General features: G+C 57.9%; 1 protein-coding gene across 12 annotated transcripts in view, besides 2 other annotated features; it reads right to left on the reverse strand.

Annotated features, from left to right (window-relative positions):
- Positions 1-14,627, reverse strand: part of PNPLA7 (patatin like domain 7, lysophospholipase) — a 90,451-nt gene that overhangs the window by 24,831 nt on the left and 50,993 nt on the right. For 8 of the 12 annotated variants that reach the window (XM_047423367.1, XM_047423366.1, NM_152286.5 and 5 more), the window contains 4 exons: positions 13,332-13,463; positions 12,405-12,528; positions 10,251-10,364; positions 8,231-8,300 (listed from right to left, as the gene is read on the reverse strand). In XM_047423367.1, coding sequence (XP_047279323.1) covers positions 8,231-8,300; positions 10,251-10,364; positions 12,405-12,528; positions 13,332-13,463 — 440 coding nt within the window. Of the gene's footprint in view, positions 1-240; positions 3,478-4,354; positions 4,559-8,230; positions 8,301-10,250; positions 10,365-12,404; positions 12,529-13,331; positions 13,464-14,627 lie in introns of those variants that run through there. The other 4 variants (XR_929793.2, XR_001746292.2, XR_929792.3 and 1 more) reach the window with 4 other exon arrangements.
- Positions 7,876-7,965: a silencer, noted in NCBI's record as "silent region_20627". NCBI's record gives its function as "represses an Ori minimal core promoter by ATAC-STARR-seq in GM12878 lymphoblastoid cells {active_cell/tissue: GM12878}" and the evidence as "EXISTENCE:reporter gene assay evidence [ECO:0000049][PMID:35858748]".
- Positions 10,073-10,573: an enhancer, noted in NCBI's record as "H3K4me1 hESC enhancer chr9:140389307-140389807 (GRCh37/hg19 assembly coordinates)". NCBI's record gives its function as "activates a minimal SCP1, AML or CMV promoter by ChIP-STARR-seq in naive H9 embryonic stem cells {active_cell/tissue: H9 hESC(naive)}" and the evidence as "EXISTENCE:reporter gene assay evidence [ECO:0000049][PMID:30033119]".

Genomic DNA, 14,627 nt, shown 5'->3' on the forward strand with positions numbered 1-14,627 from the left:
CAGATGCCTCCAGATGCCCTGGGGCCCCCCGAGGCTGCACAGGAGCAACGCAGCAGCACCAGAGGCCGCCTGGCCCTCCCGCCTCCCCAGTCCTGAGGCTGCCTGGCCCTCCCGCCTCCCCAGTCCTGAGGCTGCCTGGACCTCGCGCCTCCCCAGTCCTGAGGCTGCCTGGACCTTGCGCCTCCCCAGCCCTCAGGGGCTGCCTGGACCTCATGCCTCCCCCAACCCTCAGAGGCTACCTGGGCCTCACGCTGTCCCCAGCCATGTGGCTGCCTAGGCCTCACGCCTTCTCCAGGCCGGAGGCTGTCTTGGTCTCACGCCTTCCCCAGCTCTTCCTGATGAGCTGCCAGTCCACACCTGCAAGCGTCCCCAGGCCCCACACAGCAGGTCTGACCAGCACTGGTCCAGGCCCAGGCCCAGGGAGTGGATTCCTCCTGACCCACCAAAGACAGTGATTCACGGAGCGACTGAAAGGAATGTGAGGCTCAGAGTAAACCAGACAAACGCTGCAGGTGAGGCCTCATCGGAGTAAACCAGACAAACGCTGCAGGTAAGGCCTCACTGGAGTAAACCAGACAAACGCTGCAGGTGAGGCCTCATCGGAGTAAACCAGACAAACGCTGCAGGTGAGGCCTCATCGGAGTAAACCAGACAAACGCTGCAGGTGAGGCCTCATTGGAGTAAACCAGACACACTCTCCAGGTGAGGCCTCATCGGAGTAAACAAGACATACTCTCCAGGTGAGGCCTTATCCTCTGAACCAATCGTCGCAGGGCTTTCCACCACTCACTCCAGGAACAGTAAACAACACACGGGCTAGACATCAATAGGCCCGTTTCTCTTGTCTGTCATCTGCAAGGGATTCCAGAAACCAAGGAAGCACAGCGCAGCCCTGGGAAGCCTGGGCCAGGCCCTGGAGACCCCGGAGACGCGAGTGAGGGTGTCAAGGCAGACCAGGCTTTCCTCTCCCTGAGACTGGAGCCTCCAGGGCCCACCAAGGGGCCCGCCCAGACAGGCAGGACCCTCTCCCTGGGCCCCATGTGGGCTGAGGGGCCCCTCGGCCAGCACAGTGGCAAGGACATGGACCAGGGGGTCTGGGACTTGAGAGTCCCCCAGAGGGTCCCAGGCCCTCTTTACTGGATGCCGTCTGGCGAGTGGCATCTCTGCTTCCACAGAAGAGGTTGAGGGGACGGCCTCACTGCTCCTGAGGCCACCGCGCCACCAGCCACGCTCCTGCCCACGAGGGTCTCCTGCATCTAGGTGCCGTGGATGCTCCTCCTCTGCAGTCCCCGTGGCCCAGCCCTCTCACAGGCTGTCCCCTGGCCTATGTCTCCCGTCCCCAGTGAGGTGGCTTCCAAAATCCACCAGACACGCAGGTCCTGATTGGCCAAGGTCAGAGTAAGGGGACGCGGCATGGTGAGGGAAGAGGCCAGGAGAGCAAGCCTGGGGACACAGAACCAAGTGAGGGCTTAAGGGCCACTCCCTGCAGACGGCGGCCAGCGGACACCTGCAAGATCCTGGGATGCACACGGCGCCGTGGCAGCACTGCGGGTAAGAGCCTGTGAACGGGGAACATGGCTCGGAGAACCAGCGCACAGCCGGCAATCATGTGCTCACAGGAAAATAGCTGATGACGTGCTGCTGAGCAGGAAAGCTGCAGAGTGGTTTATAAATGTGATTCCATTATTAAATAAATACTCAAGGCCTCCCAAAAGAAAAACACCCGTACCTGTATGCAGGCAGAAACAGATAAATGATGCTGCCCATCCCACATCCCGAATGAGTGTCCAAGACTCACACAGCCCCAGATCCTCCCTCGGACTCGGCCCCCACCTCCGGCCCCAGGCTCCTACCCGACCCACCAAAGCTCAGTCCCCGCCCTCAGTCCAACTCAGCACCGGGAGCCCTGGGCCTCCACCGCCCAGCCTTGGGGTGGCTTCAGCCGCCTGCTTGAGAGGACGCTCTGTGCACAGTGGCCGGAGCTGGCCTTCGACGCCCAAGTCTGCCCGGAGCCTTTTTTGCTCAAAGCCCCTGGTGCCCCTCCCCACTCAGAACAAGCCAGAGTCTGCAGCCTCAGCCCATCTGCGGTCCCTGAGAGCTGCTGGTGACCCCCACACCACACAGCTCTCTTCCTGGCCCCAAGGGTCCTGACCTCCTCAGGGAGCGCTGCCCCACCACCTGCGTGCCCCTGCCCCTCCCCCCGCCCTTCTGAGCCATCTCTTTTGCCTTCTTGGTCCAATTTCATCCCTGACCCAACTCGACTGCAGCTCTAGGAGAAGGTTCTTTCCTGACTGGCTTCCTGAGCACGGTGCCAGCTTCCGACAGGGCCCAGTGCTTGGTTGGCCCCAGCAGGTAAGCCAGGGATGGACGGTTGCGTGCTGCGCACCGGCTGCCAAGGGCTCAGTGTCCAGTGCCCATCTCTGCCTGGAGGTTGCAAAGCCCAGCTGCATCCCCAGCTGTTCACAGACCGCACCCAGCTTCTGCCAAGGGCTGTGACCAAGCAGCGCTGGAGACGTGCAGAGGCATCCACACCGGGCCCTGGTCGGGATAAGCGCTTGGAGCTGAGTGGCCCAAAGTGCCGGCCTGGAGTGCAGGGCTGGCCAAGTGTCGCCGTGGGGCTCATGGACCCCTGGAGGGGACCCCAGCCCTGGAGTAAATACCCAAACCGGCAGCCCCAGTAAAGGACCCTGCCTGACGCATGTGCAGCTGTGTCTGTGCAGGAAAAGAACCGGGGCACTGGCGCCTCAGCACCACCTGAGCAGCTGTAAGAGGGAGGCGCCCACGTCTTCATCTCGTGCCTGGGGGCTCTTAGGTCTTTTTGCAGCCTACACAGCCTTTGTGATAAAACTCCACAATGACAGACAAGAAAAATGAAGCAAAATAAAACCCTCCACACGTGTTCCTCCTGGCAGCCTCTGCTCCTCTGGGGGAACCAGCCACACCGGCACGGAACCGGCTGTGCCAGCCACAGAGCCTCCAGTTCTACCCAACCCCAGCTGGCCCCCGAGAGGCCGTCCCATCCAGCCTCCACCTGCCTGTCAGGGGCATCTCAGGAGCCTGGGCCACCACCACAACCTGGCACGCCCTGCGAGGTGTCCCCAGCATCACCTTCACCGCACGCACTTCAGCCCCTCACTGCAGCTGAGCCTTGGCCACACGGGAGGAGCGGGGGACTCAGGCCCAGATGATGTGTCTCCGCCTCTAGGCGCTGAGTGGAAGGCAGGTGGCTTCTATAATCAGGAGGAAATAACTCCCAGATAGCAAACAAACAATGCACACACACACCAAAGTGCTGCTGAGCACAGAAAGACGGAGAACCGCCTCCTCATCCTGAGCTTCGGCCTGAACGCTGCTCTCGTGGTCTGATGTCTCGTCCCGAGCTTCACTTGCAGTCTGATGTCTCGTCCCGAGCTTCGGCCCGAACGCGGCTCTCGCGGTCTGATGTCTCGTCCCGAGCTTCGGCCCGAACGTGGCTCTCTGATGTGGATTTATTTTTATTTTTCCTGCAGCTTTTCCTTGGGAATCCCTTTCCTCTCGCCTCTCCAGGGACTGAGGTGTCAGAGTCCTCATTTGAGGCGGAATGGGGGAGGCCATTGCTAGTTCCATATGGCCTTAGCCTTGGGAAAAAGCACTGGTGAGGTTCTGGCTCTGGGCCAGAAGGGAGGTGGAGCAGACACAGGCCACCTGTCACCAGTCATGATCAGAGAGGGACAGAGCTCGAGGCAGCTCTCGCAAGACTCCAAAGGATGGAGAGGAAGGCAGGCTGGCCGGGGACCTCGGACTCATGGAGGAACCACTTGACTCAGGCCAAGAAAGAAGCAGAGTCTGCTTCCCAGCCACATGGCTGCCACAGACGGAGGGGTCTGTCCCTCCCTCCCCATGGGAGCTGCCTCTAGGGACACTGACTGGCACCAAGCAAGCACCAGCAGACATCCCCCCCCAACTGTGCACCCCCCGACCAGCCAGCATCCTCCCAACTGTCCACCACCCACAGCAGGAAACCTCTTCACCAACTGTCCACCGCCCACACCAGCAGACATCCCTCCAACTGTGCACCCCCTGACCAGCAGACATCCCTCCCAACTGTGTACCCCCTAACCAGCAGACATCCCAACTGTCTACTCACTGACCAGCAGACATCCCCCCAACTGTGCACCCTCTGACCAGCAGACATGCCTCCCAACTGTGTACCCCCTAACCAGCAGACATCCCAACTGTCTACTCACTGACCAGCAGACATCCCCCCAACTGTGCACCCGCTGACCAGCAGACATCCCTCCCAACTGTGCACCCCCTGACCAGCAGACATCCCCCCAACTGTGCACCCCTGCAGAGAAAGCAGAGGAGGCCCCACCTCCTGCCAACTAGAGGTAGGAGATCAAGAAAGCCTCGAATCTGTAATGAAGACGCAGCCTGTGCCAGGGTCAGGTGTTCGGGTCTGAGAGCTGAAGATGGCGCAGAATGCAGCCTTCACACTGGGCCTGGGCAGCACCTAGTAGGCAGACCAGGGTCAGTTCACGTTCAAACCACACTCCACAAACGTTGGCCAGGACATGCCCTGTGAATACAAGCACACTAACAGTGAAAATTGAAGACTTAAATGGGAACCAGAGTCTCATAGCCTAACACTCAAAACATCAGGACACAAAATCCACAGTGACCAGGATGGGTCCACAGTGACCAGGCCACATCCATGGTGACCCAGTATGCCAAGAGCAAGGAGGATCTGAACCAGAGGAGTAAAAACAATCCACAGATAAAAACGACCGCATGTCACAGACGGAATTATTTCTCCAGGACGATAAAGCTGTTATCATTACCAGCTAGAACCAGCAATCCTGAACACTCCTGAAACAAAGACAAAGAGAGAACGTCCTAGCAAAGAAACAGGAGGCACACAGAAGAACCAAAACACGATGACAGAACATTTTTTTAAAACTCTCTGATAGGCCTCAAAGCAGAATCGAGATGACAAAAAGCCAAAGATCCTGAAGATAGATCAAAAGAAACAATTCCATCTTAACATCAGAGAGAGAAAAAAAAGGTTTAAAAAATGAGCAGTGCCCCAGAGACCTTGGGGACAATAACGCGAGGTCTAACACTTGTGCCACTTTATTTCCAGAAGAGGTGGAGGGGCACACGAGTGGAAGAATCGTTTGAAGACATATAGACTGAACACTTCCAAAATGTGTTAAAAGCTATAAACCTACGGGTCCAAGACGAAGAAACCCCAAACAGGACAGATCCAAAGTATTCATGCTCAGACACTTCCAAATCACATTTCTGAAAACTAAAGACAGAGAAAAACACCTTTTTGTGTGTGTGTTTTGAGGCAGGGTCTTGCTCTGTTGACCAGGCTGGACTGCGGTGGCGCGATCATAGCTCACTGTAACCTCGAACTCCGAGGCCCAAACGATCCTCCCACCTCAACCCTCTGCATAGCTGGGACGACAGGTGTGTGCTAACATGCCTGGATCATTTTTCAAATTTTATTCATAGAGACAGGGTCTCACTATGTTGCCCGGGCTGGTCTCGAACTCTTGGGCTCAAATAATCCTCCTGTCTCGGCCTCCCAAAGTGCTGGGATGAGGTGTAAGACACTGTGCCTGGTCAAAACATTCTTGAACACAGCTAGAGAGAAATGATGCGTTACCTACTGGAGAACATCTGGATACCTGGATCCTTCATGAGAAGCAACAGAGGCCATGAGGAAGTGGCACAAGATTTTTAAAGTGCTGAAATACTTTGTATTTCTGCCAAACCAGAATTATACATCCAGCAAAAGCACCCTTCAGCATGAGGGTGACATGGAGATATTCTCAGATTCTCAGATGAGGGAAAGCAAGCGGATCTGCAGCCATCAGACCTTCTCTGAAAGAACCGCTAACCACAATTCTTCAACAGCAAGGAGACGAGCCCAGAAGGAAACCTGAGATGCCGCAAATGAAAGAAGAGCAGGAGGACGGTGACCCTGGGTGAACATCACAGACTATTCTCCTAAGTTTTAAAAATCATGTTTGATGGCTGAAAGCGAAAGTTGTAGCCCTGTGTTTTTGGGGCTACAGTTTGACAAAATTACAGAGGTAATAGTTAAGACAACCACATCATAAAGGGGGAAGGATGAAGTGACTGAACAATGGTGAGCTCTCCACATTCCACTTAAAGTGCTGAGATGTGGCTGTCAGTAGACAAGGATAAGTTAGGTATGGATAACGTCATCGCTAGAGTAACCACTGAAAATGTCACATGAAGAGACATCATGGAAACCACAGTTGATAATTATAATGGAATACTCAAAAAAGTTCAAGTAACATAAGAGTAGACAGAAAAGCTGGGCGCAGAGGCTCACAGCTGTAGTCCCAGCTACTCAGGAGGCTGAGGGGGGGGGAATCACTTGACCCCAGGAGTTAGAGGCTGCAGGGAGCTATGATTGCACTTGTGACTAGCCACTGCACTCCAACCTAGACAAAATAGCGAGACCCCATCTCTAAATAAAAAGAGAAAATACAGTAGTGTTTAACAACAGTGGGGGGCGTGAGAACAGAAAAAACAACAAAATGGAAGACGTAACAGAATAATTACACTAAGTATCTACAGTCTAAACACACAAAAGATAAAGATTGTCAGAAGGGATGAGGAACACATGATCCAACCGGACACCTTCTACAAGAAACTCACTTCAAAACTCACGGTGCCGGTAAGTGGAGAGCGAAGAGTCACATTACGTTACGTGTTAGACAGTGTCCCCCAAAATTCACAGTGCAGGTAAGTGGAGAGTGAAGAGTTACATTACGTGTTAGTGTCCCCCCAAATTCATGTCTACCCAGAACCGCAAAATGTGACCTTATTTGGAAACGGTTTTGCAGAGGAACTCAGATGAAGATGGGGTCACCCTAGAGTGGGGCTCACACTTCGCTGCCTCTGTGTGGCCCTCTGTGCATCCATCCGCTTCTTGGACAGACGTTCAATGCTGTGCACACGTCACTGTGTGAACACAGACGCAGGCTCCTGCTCCCAGCCAGCTCACACGCCAATGCCAGAGGCAGGTGACAGGTCATGCAATGTGTCGGGGGTGACAAGCACAGAGAAGAAAAAGGAAGCGGAAAGGGAGCTGAGAGTGCTGGGCGGATGGGGAGGCCAGGGAGGCTGTGCTGAGACGGAGATGCAGGACACGCGGGAGCAGCCAGGCTCTTCTGAGGGCTCCAGGCAGAGAGCAGCAGGCACAGAGGCAGAAGGCAGGAGAGAGGAGCTCCCAGAATGGCAAGGGGATCTGGGGTCAAATGCTGTCCAGCAGAGATAAAGGGTCAGAGTCCTTGAGTATGTGGGACCTGGTGAGAGAGGACAGCCTGAGAGCTAACAGTGGCTCCAGAAAAAAGTACACCTCAGAACTAGGAAAGAATGAATATGCTGGAGCAGGGAAAACTAAATTCCCCACACTCTAGAATGGTCTCATTATCTTTCCATGCTGAGCACAGGAGAGAGAGCACTCTCCGCTCCACCAATACCGTTTCCGGAGGTTTCACCCTGTTTCCTTTTTCCAATCAGCTGACAAAAATAGGAGGGAGATATATCACATTTCATCTTTTCACATATAGCAGAGCTTTCCTCCAGTGCTGCCCACATTGAGATACAGTTTGAAAAAAATTACTGGGCTCGGGTGGGCGGGGCTCTGAGGTAGGTGGGACCATGGGTGGGCGGGGCTCCAGCACAGGGGAGGGGCATGGGCGGGTGGGTGGGGCTCCAGCACAGGGCGGGGCCATGGGCGGGTGGGTGGCCGGGGCTCCAGCACAGGGCAGGGCCGTGGGCTGGGTGGGTGGGGCCCCAGGATAGGGCAGGGCCCATGAGCTGGGTGGGTGGGACTGCACGACAGGGCAGGGCCATGGTCTGGGTGGGTGAGGCTCCAGGATGGGGTGGGGCCATGGGCTGGGTAGGCAGGGCTCCAGAACAGAGCAGGGCTATGGGCTGGGTGGGCCGGGCTTCATGACAGGGCAGGGCCATGGGCTGGGTGGGCAGGGCCATGGGCTGGGTGGGCTACGGCTCTGGGACTAGGTGGGGCCATGGGCTGGGTGGGCAGGGCTTCATGACAGGGAAGGGCCATGGACTGGGTGGGCAGGGCTCCAGGACAGGGCGGGGCCATGGGCTGGGAGGGCGGGGCCATGGGCTGGGTGGGCGGGGCTCCAGGACTGGGTGAGGGCTCCCAGGAGGCTCTGGGTTGGGAGAGGTGACCCACCTGTCACAGGTCCCTGCTGGAGGCTGCCCAGGATCTTCTCACCCAAGAGATGAATCAGCCGAGTCACCACCTGCGGGCAGACACAGGAGCCAAGAGCCACACGTTTTAAACTGAGAAACACTGGGAACCAAAGACAGTGATGCTCAACAACAGCGAGACTCAGCCAATGGCGCTGGATCTGCTTTTCAAAACCTCCATGAACTGAGTTGCACATGACTCACAAGCCACGTGCTGGGCCATGGCTGTTTAGGCCTTGCAGCCTTCTTGATGCCCAGGTAAGCCATACGGCTGCCTTTCTGGTTGCCAGGCCAGCAGGTACAAGGGGTATGTCCTCTGTGACCGTGAGCCCAGGCCAGCCTCTCACTCTCACTTCAGGGCAGGCAGACAACTCCAAGCAAGCCACCCACGACCCTGAAGGCAGGACAAGGGCAGGCTGGCAGGCTTCTCTGGAACTGAGGGCTCATTGTGGCTGTTGCTTCTGGGTGCCAAGCCTGCTTCAGGGCACGGTTGGGGACATTTGTCCTGACTGGACCAAACGGTCCCCACACCAGGGGTTGCTGGCTTGCAGGGACCCTGCCCAGGGGCTGACTGTACAGCAAAGCTGGCCCCACAACAGCGGACCCACTGGCTTCACCCGCACTGTCCCCCAGAAGCTGCTGGTTGGATGGAGCCCTGCAGCGGCCTCTAAAGGGTGGGCCAGGGCTCCTGCTCCGAGGCGCTCATGAGAACGAGGCCCACCCTGCAGGCCAGGACAAAGATGGAGGAGTGGCCTGGCTCCCTGCTGTTCCCAGCAACTGTGGCTGCCACCCTGGAGCCTGCTGGCCCTGTGAGCTGCACTCACATGCTCCGCCAGGCTCTCCTGGTCCATAAGTGGGCAAGTACAGCAAGCGCCAGGACCTAGGATCTGCGGGCAGGAGAACCAGGATCCAGGAGCTGCGGGCAGGAGAACCATGGCCCAAGAGCTTTGAGTGGGAGAAGCGCTACCTGAGGGGAGGCGGTGGAGGGAGGGCAGTGGTGGCCTCTCAGGATGAGCCCCAGGGGTGGTGAGAGGCACTGGCCGTAAAAGGCCCTGCAACATGCTGTGGGCCACACCTGCACCCCCTTTCCATTTGTTCTAGAATGAAAAACTTCTTGGGATCCGTGTGCTGGCTGATGAACAACTGCAGACCTGCCCTTCAGGCCCCTCTGCCGGTCCTTCCTGGGCGCTCTCCTCACCGCTGACCCTGCACTTCCGAGCAGCCCGCCCTGTCCTTCTCCAGATCTCAGAGTGAGAGTCACTTCCCTTTCCTCTGCCACACCCACATCACTCATGAGTAGAGAGGCCACCAAGAAGGCAGCTGCACGACTGTCCTGGGAAGCAGCCTGGGCGCCTCTCCAGGTTTCCTGCTCACCGTCACCGCCCCCACCCAGCTGGGCTCTAATCTTCACCTCCTCCAGGTCGTTTTCCATCCATGTGTAGGTAGACCGAATGATCACCACAACTCAGGGCACAGTTTGGGACATGGCCTGTGCCACCCTCACCCGCACCACCCTCACCCGCGCCCTCACCTGCTCTGCGCCCTCACCTGCTCCGCACCCTCACCTGCGCCCTGCCCTCACCTGCTCCGTGACCTCATCCACTCCGCACCCTCACCTGCTCCGCGCCCTCACCTGTGCCCTGCCCTCACCTGCTCCATGACCTCATCCACTCTGTGCCTTCACCTGCTCTGCGCCCTCACCAGCTCCGCACCCTCACCTGCGCCCTGCCCTCACCTGCTCCGTGACCTCATCCACTCCGCACCCTCACCTGCGCCCTGCCCTCACCTGCTCCGTGACCTCATCCACTCTGCACCCTCACCTGCGCCCTGCCCTCACCTGCTCCGTGACCTCATCCACTCCGCGCCTTCACCTGCTCTGCGCTCTCACCTGCTCCGCGCCCTCACCTGCTCTGTGCCCTCACCCGCTCCGCCCTCACCTGTTCCATGCCCTCATCCACTCCACACCCTCATCCGCTCCGCATCCTCACCCACGCCATGCTCACCTGTGGGTACCTGCGCTTGATGGACGTGAGGGCTCCTGCCGGCAGCTTGGCCAATTCTGAGTCCCGAACGGCATGCACCGTGGTCGCCCGGGCCTGGTGGGTCAGTGTCTCCACCTGAGGACAGGAGCCGGCTGCTGGGGCCGCGGGCTTGGGAGGGCCGAGCCAGCTGGACCTGTCCCTGACAGCCTCCGGTGCCTGCCAGAGCCACACATGACACCCCATCCACACCGCAAGGCGGAGGCAGTCAGTGAGTGCTGGCGGGCGACGCTGTCAGAACCACTGGAACATGCCAGAAGCCAAAGGTGCCCCCTAGCAACCCAGGCAAATTGCAGACACAGGCATTGGACACCACAGGCTGGAACAAGGGCAGCCTCAGCTCTCCCGAAGAAATAAATGCCTTTGGAGAACACCTCTTTTTTTTTTTTCTTGGAGACGGAGTCTCATTCTGTCACCCAGGCTGGAGTGCAGTGGTGCGATCTCGGCTCACTGCAAGCTCCACCTCCTGGGTTCACGCCATTCTCCTGCCTCAGCCTCCCGAGTAGCTGTGACCACAGATGCCCACCACCACGCCCGGCTAGTTTTTTTGTATTTTTAGTAGAGACGGGGTTTCACCATGTTAGCCAGGATGGTCTCGATCTCCTGACCTCATGGTCCGCCGCCTCGGCCTCCCAAAGTGCTGGGATTACAGGCGTGAGCCGCCGCGCCCGGCCTGGAGAACTCCTCTTTTTAAGATGTGTCCCTCAGCCTGCGGGAGCCCTGCCCTCTGGCACTGAGGCCTCCCTGCCGGCATCCGGCCTGGAGTGTGAGCCTTCATCCGGTGGATGGAGCTGGAACCACCAGGCTGCACATAAAGCCAAGCAGAGGCCCAGGGCCTGCTGAGCCATCGGAGCGCGGGACTCTGATGGGAAGACCTTCGGCCCTGGCAGAGCTGAGGCGAGGCGGTGCTGGAGCACACTGACAGAGTTCCCATCAGCCCCGGGCAAAACACGGAGCAACACGGCACCTCCGACCTCAGAGGCTGCCTGAAGGCCACGCTGTCCCCAGGGGAGGGCACCTAGGCCTCCCCACACACTGTTTTTTTTTTTCAGACGGAGTTTAGTTTTTTTTTGTTTTTTTTTTTTTGAGATAGAGTTTAGCTCTTACTGCACAGGCTGGAGTGCCGCCTCCCAGGTTCAAGCGATTCTCCTGCCTCAGCCTCCCGAGTAGCTGGGATTACAGGCACCCGCCACCACACCCAGCTAATTTTGTATTTTTAGTAGAGACGGGGTTTCTTCATGTTGGTCAGGCTTGTCTCGAACTCCCAACCTCAGGTGGTCCACCCACCTTGGCCTCCCAAAGTGCTGGGATTACAGGCGTGAGCCACCACACCTGGCCACACTGGTTTAAAACTTAACACAGTCTGGGAGCAGTGGCTCACGTCTGTAATCCTAATACTTTCAGAGGCTGAAGTGAGTGAATCACCTGCGGTCGGGAGTTGGAGACCAGCCTGACCAACATGGAGAAACCCCATCTCTACTAAAAATACAAAATTAGCCGGGCGTGGTGGCGCACACCTTTAATCCCAGCTACTCCGGAGGCTGAGGCAGGAGAATCTCTTGAACTCAGGAGGCGGAGGTTGCAGTGAGTTGAGATCGCGCCACTGCACTCCAGCCTGGGCAACAAGAGTGAAATTCCGTCTCAAAAAACAAAACAAAACAAAACAAAACAAAAACACAAATCGGCAGAAGCCCCAGGCCGTGGCACCTTGGAGCTGGGCAGCCCCCCACTCGCTCAGGATGCAGGGGCCTGCTGTGAGACCCAGACCAGCTGTAGTTGCTCCTGTGGAACCCCAGACCAAAGGCAGCTCCTGCTGCTACCAGCCCTCAAGAGACACCCAAGGCATCTGGGCCAGTGCTCCCAGATGCCAGGATAGGTGCCTGGGAGTCCCCCACAGAGGCAGAGCCTGGGGATCACAGCAAAGCAGCCGCGGGGAGTCCCCCCAATGGAGGCAGAGCCCGGGGCTCACAGCAAAGCGGCTGCGGGGCATCACTACTACCATCCACTCCTGGGGCTTTTGCTCCCAAGTAACTGGCCAGGCCACACCCAGGCCAGAACCCAGGATGCTCTGGGAGGGATGCAGAGGTGGGGGAGGCAGGAGCAGGGCCCAGCACCTACCACGCCGACGAGGTCTCCTCGGCCGTACTCCCCGGCCAGGCGCTTCTTCCCATCATCCTTCCGGATCACAGAGCGCAGCCGGCCGCTGAGCATGATGTACGTGCAGTCGGACTTGTCCCCCTGCCTGCGGAAGACACAGAGGCCCTGCAGCCCTGGGCCCCCAGCCTCAGCCTCCACACCCAGCTTCCCAATGCCAGACAGACTCAGGATGGAGAAAAAGAAAATGCAGGCTTCTCACTATCTTATTTTTGTTTTGGAAAACATATTTTTTATTTTAAAATATTTATGTTAACAGGCCTGGGTTGTTTTAAATGAATATTCTAAAATTGTCTTGGTTTTAATTATTATTATTATTTTTTGAGACGGAGTCTCGCTCTGTCGCCCAGGCTGAAGTGCAGTGGCACGACCTCGGCTCACTGCAACCTCCACCTCCCAGGTTCATGTGATTCTCCTGCCTCAGCCTCCCAGGTAGCTGGGATTATAGGCGCACACCACCACGCCCAGCTAATTTTTGTATTTTTAACAGAGACAGGGTTTCACCCATGTTGGCAAGGCTGGTCTCAAACTCCTGACCTTGTGATCCACCCACCTTGGCCTCCCAAAGTGCTGGGATGACACGCGTGAGCCACCACGCCCAGCTAATGGGGCCCTTTTAAAGGGACGGTGTGGACTTGAATATAATGACACGGAGAGATGCTCATAGAACATGGACTATGTCCAAGCGTGTGTGGGTGTCATGAAATCCAGGAGGCCACGAAGTGTGTTTCCGAGCTAAGCTGGGGTGGGGCTGGGGAAATCCAGCCTTCCATGTGTGGTTTCCACAGTAACTTCCGTGTGTGGTTTCCACGGTAACCGTGCTTTGCCCATCCCCAGCTCCTGCATGCCAGGGCAGCATGGATGCGGAGTGTGTGGCACCCACGGCCTCACCTGTATATTGCTCGCCCGGCCTCCACCTCCACCCAGTCCAGGGCAAAGTCGATTTGCCGCACGAAGGACGACATCCTCTTCACCACAGTGTGCGCCACACCCAGGACGACGGTCGGCTGCTTCCGCATGATTCTGCCGGGCAGCCCAGAGTCAATCCTGCCCCATCCCTCCAACCCTACCCTTCGCCCAGGGCCGCAGTGCTCGGGAATGGATGGGACCCACAACCCCCACCCCACCCGGAAAGTAGAGAGACCACTGGCAGGGGCTGGGACGGGGCACGCACCAGTCAGCTGCCTGCCCCACGGCACAGCACTGCCCACCACGTGCCCAGTGGCCAGCAGCTGTTGGGGAGCCCAGAGAGCCCCCTCCTGGCAGGCCCGCGAGTGCCCCTTGGACACGGGCCCTGTGTCAGGCTGCGGTCCTGGCAGGGGACTGCACATGCCGTCAGGAGCTGCATAATGCACACTCGGGCCGTGGGTGTGGCTGGCAGTGAGTGCCGTGAAGGGCACCAGCAGGCAAAGGCAGAGGCTGAGAGACCCATGGGGCCTGGATAGCACAGGGTCTCTCCTGGGTGGGTGGAGGGTGGCTGGGGCCTCTGACCCGGGGAACACTGTTCTCTCCCCGGTGGTCGTGTGTGGACAGACTGTCGAGGGTGAGGGCTGCAGCAGGGACGTGCCCAGGGGCTCTGGGCAGTGGCGAGGTGGGACGTGGGGCAACCTGCACCAGGTGTGAGAGTGACGCCGGGCGACTCCAGGCCTAGCCTGAGCCACAGGCAGGTGGAGCTGCCATTTCCTCAGAAGGCAAAAGCAGGAGGAAGAGCAAACGTGGAATCAGGATCTGCTTTGCACAGGAGGTGGGGGAAGCTGGGGAGATGGCAAGACAGTGGCTGGGTGAGGGCGTGAAGGGCGTGAGCGTGGCACTTAGAGCCCTGGGGGTGGAGGAGGAGCCCTGGGATGCTGGCTGGGGTGACGGCTGCAAGGCACACCATGCACGGACACACAGGCAGACACACAGACACACACAGACACACGGAGACAGAGACACTCGCAGACACACGGACACACGGAGACACACGGACACAGGCAGACACACAGGCACACCGAGACACACACAGACACACAGACACACACAGACACAAGGAGACACACATGGACACATGTAGACACAGAGACAGACACACGGACACATGCAGACACATGGAGACACACAGAGACACACGCAGACACACGACACACGCAGACACACAGATAGACACACAGCACGGGGGGACTGAGCTGCATTAAGGCTGAGGGCCCT

The sequence above is a fragment of the Homo sapiens genome, chromosome 9 (assembly GCF_000001405.40).
Source record: "Homo sapiens chromosome 9, GRCh38.p14 Primary Assembly".
Taxonomy (NCBI): Eukaryota; Metazoa; Chordata; class Mammalia; order Primates; family Hominidae; genus Homo; species Homo sapiens.